We start from the raw sequence: 9986 nt of genomic DNA, 5'->3' as shown, positions 1-9986 counted from the left end.
GGTCACAGCCAGTGCCAGGGAAAAGCAGTCTCCCAAAGACAGAAACACTGAAACTGGTGACCAGCAGCTTCCCGATGGGATCTCAGGAGTTGGGCAAGTGGACTCAAGCGCGCACACTAAGAGGCAAAATGGTGGAGTTTAACTGGCATATGACCTTCCTCTAGGAAGGCTCAACTGGTAAGGAAAAAAATGCCTAACGTGAGCATGCACTCAACTCCAGTATACACACTGCACATGTGCCCCCCTGCAAGGGCTGGCAGGCCACTGGGCATGCGGAAAGCCGGCCCCAGAGAAGAATCAGGGGAGAAGGAATGTGGACTCCAGAAGCCTGCCAATGTATAAAACCCCAAGTCAAAGATCAAACCACACACTCGGAGGTCAAACCACGTACTCAGATGTCTCGAGTCACCCGCTTGGTCCTCTTTCAAGTGTACTTTACTTCCTTTTGTTCTTGCTCTAAAGCTTTTTAAAAACCTTTCACTCCTGCTCTAAAACTTGCCTCGGTCTCTCACCCTGCCCTATGTCTCTTGTTCAAATTCTTTCTTCTGAGGAGGCAAGAACTGAGGTTGCTGCAGATCCCTACAGATTCACCGCTGCTAACACTACTACCTACCCATGGGTTTGTTGTAGGGAATAAACCAGTTAATATTTTTAAAGCTCTGCAAACAGACTTGTATGCAGGTACATCAGCGTCATCTCTTACGTGATCATTTAATCCTCATGGTGACCCTATGACAGAGGTACATGAGTTTCCAATTGCTGCTGTAAGAAATTATCAACTTAGTGGCTTAAAGCAATGCACATTTATTATTTTATAGTTCTGGAGGTCAGAAGTCCTAAAATGAAAGTGTCGGCAGGACTGCTTTCTTCTAGAGGTGTCAGAGGCATGTAAACCATATGCAATTTTGCTAATTTATGCTTGGGGCTGTTGGCAGGTGGCCTTCCCTGTACACAATGGCATGGTAAGCCTACTTCCTGCAGAGTGTTTCCCAACCTACAGCTGAAGATCTGCCAGGTCATGAGAGGGAGTGAAAGCAAGGTGCAGAGGTCTTGCTTGCAACTCCATCTTGAATAGGGTCTGGATAAAATGAGGCTGAGACCTACTGGGCTGCACTCACAAATGGTTAAGGCGTTCTAAGTCACAGGATGAGATAGGAGGTCAGCACAAGATACAGGTCACAAAGACCCTGCTAAGAGGCAAAATGGTGGAGTTTAACTGGTATATGACCTTCCTCTAGGGAGGCTCAACTGGTAAGGAAAAAATGCCTCACGTGAGCATGCAAAGTTCTTTACTGCATCCTGTTTTATCCTGTTTTATTTTGGAACTGAAATGGAGCTTAAGCTCTTTCCTACACAGCAGGTGCAAATTTTGCTAATTTATGCTTGGGGCTGTTGGCAGGTGGGCTTCCCTGATAAAACTGGGATAAAACAGGATGCAGTAAAGAAGCTGGCCAAATCCCACCAAAACCAAGATGGCAATAAAGAGTGACCTCTGGTCATCCTCACTGCTACACTCCCAGCAGCGCCATGACAGTTTACAAATGCCATGGCAATGCCAGGAAGCTACCCCTATATGCTCTAGAAAGGGGAGGTATGAATAATCTACCCCTTGTTTAGCATATCATCAAGAAATAATCATAAACGTGGGCAACCAGCGGCCCTGGGGGCTGCTCTGTCTATGGAGTAGCCATTCTTTTATTCCCTCACTTTCTTAATAACCTTGCTTTCACTTTACTCTATGGACTTGCCCTGAATTATTTCTTGTGAGATCCAAGAATCCTCTCCTGGGGTCTGGATTGTGACCCCTTTCCTGTAACATCAGCTCTAGCGGCAAATCCTTTTCCTTGCCTGTCCCAGCCTCTAGAGGCGCCCACATTCCTTGACTCAAGGCCCTTTGTTTGTATGACTCCGATTGGCTTCCATCTTCACATCTCCTTCTCCAACTCTGACCCTTCTGCCTTTGTCTTTCCCTTATAAGGACATGTGTGATGACATTGGAGCCACTCAGATAATCCAGGAGAATCTCCCCATCTCAAAATCCTTAATTATGTCTGCAAAGTTCCTTTTGCTATGTAGGGTAACATATTCACAGCTTCCAGAAATTAGGACATGACATCTTTGGGAAGCCATTGTTGAGACTACAGTGGGTAGATATTAATAGACACCTGTGACATTGGTATGTCTTTCTGAAAGATCATAGGAAAGGGTGATTTGGGCCATGTCCTGCTGAAATGACTGCTAGCTAGTGGAACATACAAGTGGTCCATAGGAGATTGTACCAAACAAGTCTGTATTTCAATATTAAGTTGTATGTGCTAATCCATTCAGAACCATGTGGGATAGGGGTTTGCAAGTGGCTGGATTATTGGATTCCACCATTCCCAAGAGACCAGCGCTTGCTCTAGACTGTTGAGTGCCCACACGGTTATCCCGCTGGTGGCTAAAGGGAAGCCATTCCTGTTCTCTGTGGATGGCCTCTCTTTTCTTCCTGCATGCTCTGTCTCATTTACCCATTATTCCTTCTGCCTTCCCCAGTCCCACCTTTTCTTTAAGTAAATTTCTCAAGGGAGATAGCAAGAAATGATGCCCAGACTCAAGGCTCAAACACTGGTGTCTCTGATCTCAAAGCTTATGCTCTGAAGTCTTAAGAATACTCAAGATAGCTCCAGGGTTTGAGAAAGAAATATTTTCCCTCCCAGTCGCCGTGCAGAACAGGTAACTGACTGCACCGCACCTGCCCTGGGTATGATAAATTCCAAAAAGAACACCCTGAGCTGAGTCTTTGTTCCTGCCGTCACTCTGATGGCACAAGTTATTTGGGTGATGTCAGCAACAAAAACACTGGACTGACAAACAGCCACCAGAGTTTGTATAAAAACTAAACTGGAGGCATTAGAGTGTAACTCCTGGCTACGCTGGGTAGGTGATGTGGCTCACGCCTGTAATCCCAGCACTTTGGGAGGCCGAGGCAGGCAGATCGCCCGAGGTCAGGAGTTCAAGACCAGCCTGGCCAACACGGTGAAACTCCATCTCTACAAAAACTACAAAAGTTAGCTGGACGTGGTGGCGTGCACCTGTGAGCCTGACTACTCAGGAAGTGGAGGTTGTGCACCACTGCACACCAGCCTGAGTGAGACTGTCTCAAAAAAAAAAAATTCCCACTCCTAGTCTTCCTTAAAGACAGCAACAGGAGGAGGCCAGGGAAATTGTGCACATACACGGGGTGAGGTGCACTGAGGCGGAGATGGCAGAGTGTCCACCAAACCACATTCCTGGCACAACCAGGCTGCCTCTCCCTGCTTCCTCTGCCGTCTGTGTTGAAAATGCAGGAGGAAGTGGCAGACCTCACATCCAGGCATGGCCCATGGCAATCCCCCACATAGCATCCTTGTTTTCTTTCCTCAGCTTCTGGTTGATTTGAGAGGATGCTGGGGAGCCTGGAGCTGCAAGGTGGAAGAAGCTGAATGAAAGAGGAAACAGGGCCTCCTTCCACCTTCCACACCATCCCTACGGGACTGTGAAGTGAGTGAGAAATAACCTTTTGTGGGGTTATATCAGTGAGATTGGAGGATTATGTGTTACAACCCCTGGCTACCCTGACTAATGCATCCAAGTATTTCCAACTCCATCGTCTTGTTTCAGCCTTTCTACAACCTCGTGACATAGGTAATTCCATTTTTTTTTTTAAGGCAGGTGTCACTCTGTCACCCAGGCTGGAGTACAGTGGCACGATCATGGCTCCCTGCAGCCTTGACCTCCCAGGCTCAAGCAATTCTCCCACTTCAGTCTCCTGAGTAGTTGGGAATACAGACATATGTTGCCACACCAGGCTAAAACATAGGTAATACTATAATACCTATAATATAGGCAATATTATAATACCATATAAGATTAACTTTAAAGATGAGCATCCAAAGAGAGGAAGTGAGGGAACTCTGGCCGTCTTCATCCCAGGTCACCTTGTCCTGGTTGCTTTTGTGGGATGGGGCAGAGGCCTTGGGGCCAAGGCAGAAATGTTTCCTAAGCCTGATCTGTTATTCTACAAGCCTTTAGCTCCAGATGACTTAGACCCAAGACAGTCAGTGAGGCAAGTGCTATAGCTCCCCAAACCCCAACCAGGTCACTCCCTGCCCTTTCAGGTCTCCTGGGTTTCCTGGCAGGAAAGAAAAGTTAGCCGCTGTACCCGAGAAGCAGCTGAGTGGGTATACCCTGAAGTGGAGGGTGATTGTTTAGCAAGGCACCAGAAATGCAAATGGCTTCAGACACAGTCCTTGCCCCTGAACTATAACAGTCATAGCCAACATGGACTGAGCACTCACCTCGGGCTGGGCACTTTGCTAGGTGCTCATCTTGCAATACTTCATGGAGCCCACACAAGATCCTTATTGGGGAGAATCTCCTGCTGGAATCACTTCCACTATGGTGGAAGGAGAATTGTGTGGTGGTTAAAAGTCTAGGCTCTGGAGTTGGAGCAACTCTACCCCTCTCTAGCAGGGCAATGCTACTCACGTTCATTCGCCTCTTTACTCCCATTTTCTCATACAATAGAGATAATGAAACTATCTTAAACTATCTTTATCCTAAGGTTATTGCCAAGTTTAGGCAGAATGAGGCTAACAATGAGGCTAACGCTGCAATGGAATGAGAACACTGCGTGAGCTCCCGAGTTACTAAGGAGGCTGGGGTGCAGAAAGATTAAATGGTTTGTCAAATGACACCACTGAGCTGACACGGTCAGGATATGCACCAAGTCAGTCTGACTCTGGAATCCACTTTAAACCACTTTGTAGGAGGAAAAGGAATTTGTCAGGGTCACGCACATGAAGAACAAAAATGTTCACTGGGGGCCAAAGACTTACCTCAACCAGACTCACCTTATCTGATGCTCATCTGTTCGGTGGACGTCTCCCAAGGCGTTATGCTAAGGGTATAAATGCAAGTGTGCATTGACCATCCAGAATCCACTCTATCCTTCTCACTGCCTTTTATAACCCAGTGCACCTTTCTCTACATACAAGCATTTTCCTGAATATTGTGCATGGGGCAAATCACATTTGAAGCATAGCTTGGATGTTTACTCGTCAAAGACTACTCCAGTGAGTCCTTTCGTAGAGCAAAGTTTTGGGGAAGATGACTAATGACCCTCAGGGTAAAAAAGTCAACCTAGTAAATGCAGATTTCAGTAAACTCAGGTCTGTGACCACACACTTTAATTTTTTGTATAATAATTTAATTTATTTTAAGGCAGGCATGACTTAAAGACCTACATCAAAGAATTCCCTAATACCTGGAATGGTTTGGTAGCGATGGATTCTGATCCACACAGGAGCAGCATGAAAATGGGAACTGTCTTAGGTCATGTCACGTGGTATTCTGTAGCTCAACAAGGTGTAGGAGCACTGGAAGGATTGTGTGACTGCCACAGCAGCTGGGGAGTAAATGAACATGACCTGGACCTAGAACAGTGTTGCTCTGGGATCAGGAAGGACCAGCTGGGACAGCAGATGCCTGCGCGAAGAGACTCAAGGCAGCAACCGCTCCTCAACTCCTGGTACAATTTCATGCATCACTTTAACCTACTGGAACTCAGACGCATCCCTGGGGAGAAAGGCGGAAAATCTGAATTGTTTGAAATGAATTCTTGTTACTAAAGGTAAAGGACTTCATCAAAAAATAATTTCAGTAAAAAAAAAAAAGAAAATTATATTTTTTACGCACCTGAGTCTTTGGCCTGAAGACCATTCTGCCAGAAATAAGAAGTTTTCATATCTTGAGGTTTTAAAATTGGGAGCCCATTTGCATTTACTATGGTCATTTATTAAGAAACAGAAGATTCTAGAAACTTTCATGTCTGCCTGTGGCCACAAGTGTCCTTGATTTAAGCAGTGGATAGTAATTGAGGCAGAAAGGAGGAATGTTTTCTTATTTGATACTTCTGAACTTAAATCATCTGGATAATTACAGCTTTTCTTTTTCATGAGATTGATCTTCCTTTACCGGAAGATGTCTGATAACTGTTTAAACACTGCCAGGTGTCCCAATAATCTCAGTCCTCAAATTTTTATATAATTGCAGGGTCTGTTGCAATTTGTGCCTATTTTCTCCACTAGAAGACGACACCAGGCAAAAAGGCCAAGTGGGGTGCTGCGGACAGAGTGCTACTTATGCAAACCAAGACAAAACACTCACACTCAATGTATTAATCTGTTCTCACACAGCTATAAAGAACTACCTGAGACTGGGTAATCTACAAACAAAAGAGGTTTAATTGACTCACAGTTCTGCATGGCTGGGGAGGCCTCAGGAAACTTAGAATCATGGCAGAAGGGGAGGCAAGACATGTCTTACATGGCAGCATGAGAGACAGTTAAGGGGGAACTGCCAAACACTTTTAAAACCACCAGATAGGCTGGGCACAGTGGCTCCCGCTTGTAATCTTAGCACTTTGGGAGGCCAAGGCGGGCAGATCACTTGAGGTCAGGAGCTGGAGACCAGCCTGACCAGCGTGGTGAAACCCTATCTCTACTAAAAATACAAAATTAGCTGGGCGTGGTGGCGCATCCCTGTAATCCCAGCTACTCGGGAGGTGGAGGCAGGAGAATCGCTTGTACCCAGGAGGTGGAGGTTGCAGTGAGCGGATATTGTGCCATTGCACTCCAGCTTGGGCAACAAGAGTGAAACTCTGTCTCAAATAAATATATAGAAAAATAATTAAATAAAACCATCAGCTCTTGTGAGAGCTCACTCAGTATCACAAGAACAGCACGGGAGAAACTATCCCCAGGATCCAGTCACCTCCCAACAGGTCCCTCCCTCGACACATGGGGATTACAATTTGGGATGAGATTTTGGTGGGGATATGAGCCAAACCATATCACTCATGCACCAGGAGGCTGAAGGGTGAGGGTAGCCACTTACCCTGATCCCACATGGAAACTGCCTTCTACCATGACTCGGCTGAGAGGATTCCATGGAGGAATTTCTACAGACACCATCTGATGAAGGTTTTTATTTTCCTTTTTTATTTTTTGAAACAGTGTCTTGCTCTGTTGCCCAGGCTGGAGTGCAATGGTGCAATCATGGCTCACTACAGCCTTGACCTCCTGGGCTCAAGTGATCCTTCCACCTCAGCCTCTTTAGTAACTGGGACCACAGGCACCTGCTACCATGCCAGGCTAATTTTTGTATTTTTAGTAGAGATGGGTTTTTTCATGTTGGTCAGGCTGGTCTCCAACTCCTGGCCTCAGCTGATCACCTGCCTTGGCCTCCCGAAGGGCTAGGATTACAGGCATGAGCCACTGCACCCGGCCAGTTTTTTCTTTTAAGTCATTCAATCATTACCTCAGTAAATGTATGAACCATCCACTAGTTGCTCAAGTAAGAAATCCCAGGATTCTTTTGTTTTTTATTTTTTTGAGACAGGGTCTTTCTCTGTTACCCAGGCTGGAGTGCAGTGGCATGTTCCTAGCTCACTGAGCCTTGAACTCCCAGGCTCAAGTGATCCTCCCACCTCAGCCTCCTGATTAGCTGGGACTACAAGCACATCCCACCTCACTCAGCGATTAAACATTTTTTTTTTTTGTAGAGATGAGGTCTTGCTCAACAGAGGCCCAGGCTAACCTCAAACTCCTCAAACTCCTGTCCTCAAGCAATCCTTCTGCCTTGATGTCCCAAAGTGCTGAGATTACAGGGATGAGCCATCATGGCTGGCCCCAAGATTCTTGATCTATTGACAAATCCTTATGGTCTTAGGTCTTACATTGAATTCCTCCAGAAGTAGAACCTGGAACAAAGGTTTGAAAGCAAACAATTGATTTTGGAGCAGTTTATTCCAAGAAGGCACCACTACAGAGCTGGGCCGTGAGGTCGGGAAGGGAAGGAAGACAATGCAGGCGTGTGAACGAGCATACCACCTCTGCGACAAATGGAACTCAGTCCTGCGAGGACTCTGAGGGAGATGGGGTCAGTGGTGTCCTGGTGAACGGCTCTGAAGGAAACTCTGATTTGTAGTTTAATGCATTGAATGGTGTCCTCTCCTAAATTCATGTCCACCCAGAACCTCAGAATGTGACTGTATTTGGACATAGGGTCTTTGTACATGTGATTATTAATGTTAAGTCATGCTGAATTAGTGTGGGCCCTATATGCAGTGACTGGTGTTCTTGTAAGATGCAGCAACATGCAAAACTGGAGGGAAGGCACTGTAAAGATGGGGGCAGAGACTGGAGCAACGCAGCCACAAGCCAAGGAATGCCGGAAGCCACCAGGAGCTGGAAGAGGGGAGGCAGGATCCTCCTCTAGAGCCTTTGGAGGGAGCATGGCCCACTGACACCATGATTCCAGACTTCTAGCTTTCTGAACTGTAAGAGATTACTTTTCTGTTGTTTTAAGTTTGTGGTAATTTGTTACAGCAGCTGTAGGAAGCTAATGCATGTAGTGTGATATTGTTTGGATCCGTGTCCCCACCTAAATCTCATGTCCAACTGTAATACCCAGTGTTGGAGGTGGGCCTGGCGGGAGGTGACTGGATCGATGGAGTGGAGTTCTCATGAATGATTTAGCACCAACCTCTAGGTGCTGTTCTCATGAGAGTGAGTAAGTTACTGCGAGATCTGGTTGTTTAAATGTGTGGCACCATCTTGAGTTAATTTTTGTATAAGTTTACATTAGCAAAGACTTGGAACCAACAGAAATGCCCATCAATGATAGATGAGATACAGAAAATGTGGCACATAGACACCATGGAATACTATGCAGCCATAAAAAACAATGAGTTCACGTCCTGTGCAGGGACATGGATGAAGCAGGAAACCATCATTCTCAGCAAACTAACGCAGGAACAGAAAACCAAACACTGAATGTTCTCACTCAGAAGTGAGAGTTGAACAATGAGAACACATGGACATAGGGAGGGGAACATCACACGCTGGGGCCTGTCAGGGGGTGGGGGATGAGGGGAGGGAGAGCATTAGGACAAATACCTAATGCATGCGGGGCTTAAAACCTAGATAATGGGTTGATAGGTGCAGCAAACCACCATAGTACATGTGTACCTATGTAACAAAACCTGCACATTTAGCACCTGTATCCCAGAGCTTAAAGTAAAATTAAAAAAAAAAAATGCGTGGCACCTCCCTGTCCCTTCCTCCTGCCCCAACCATGGGAAGTGCTTGCTCCTGCTTCACCTTCCACCACAAGTAAAAGCTCTCTGAGGCCTCCCCAGAAGCAGACACTGCCATGCTTCCTGTGCAGCCCGTGGGACCGTGAGCCAATGAAACCTCTTTTCTTTAGAAATTACTCAGTCTCAGGTATTTCTTCCTAGCAGTGTAAAAATAGATTAATACAGAAAGTTGAATCTGTATTAGTCAGGGTTCTCCAGAGAGACAGAATCAATGGATCTATGAAAGGGAGTTTATTAGAGAGAACTGGCTCACACAATTACAAGGTGAAGTCCCAGGATAGGCCATTTGCAAGATGGGGAAGAAAGAAGCCAGTAGTGGTTCAGTTGGAGTCCAAAAGCCTCAAAATCAGGGAAACCAACAGTGTGGCCTTCAGTCTGTGGCCAAAGGCTCAAGAGCCCCCAGCAAACCACTGGTACAAGTACTAAAGTCCAAAGGCTAAAGAACCTGCAGTCTGACGTCCAAGGGCAGGAGGAGTGGGAGGGAGCATCCAACATGGGAGAAAGAAAGAAGCCAGGAGACCCAGCAAGCAAGGGCATCCCACCTTCTTCCACCTGCCTTGTTCTGGTCATACTGGCAACTGATTGGATGGTGCCCACACATATTGAGGGTAGGTATTCCTCTCCCAACCCACAGACTCATGTCTATCTCCTCTGGCAACACCCTCACAGACACACCCAGAGACAATACTTCCCTAGCCATCTAAGCATCCTTCAATCCAATCAAGTTGCCATCTAATATTAACCATCACATAATGTTTTCCAATTTTGATTTTGTAAATATCCCTCCCATGGCTGATTTTAAGCT

The 9986-nt window shown here is 46.1% G+C and overlaps 1 annotated feature.

Annotated features, from left to right (window-relative positions):
* Positions 9133 to 9312: an enhancer, noted in NCBI's record as "active region_7327". NCBI's record gives its function as "activates an Ori minimal core promoter by ATAC-STARR-seq in GM12878 lymphoblastoid cells {active_cell/tissue: GM12878}" and the evidence as "EXISTENCE:reporter gene assay evidence [ECO:0000049][PMID:35858748]".

Source organism: Homo sapiens, chromosome 12 (genome assembly GCF_000001405.40).
Source record: "Homo sapiens chromosome 12, GRCh38.p14 Primary Assembly".
Taxonomy (NCBI): domain Eukaryota; kingdom Metazoa; phylum Chordata; class Mammalia; order Primates; family Hominidae; genus Homo; species Homo sapiens.
The sequence above is the reverse complement of the archived record's forward strand: the minus strand, read 5'-3'. Positions and strand labels throughout refer to the sequence as shown.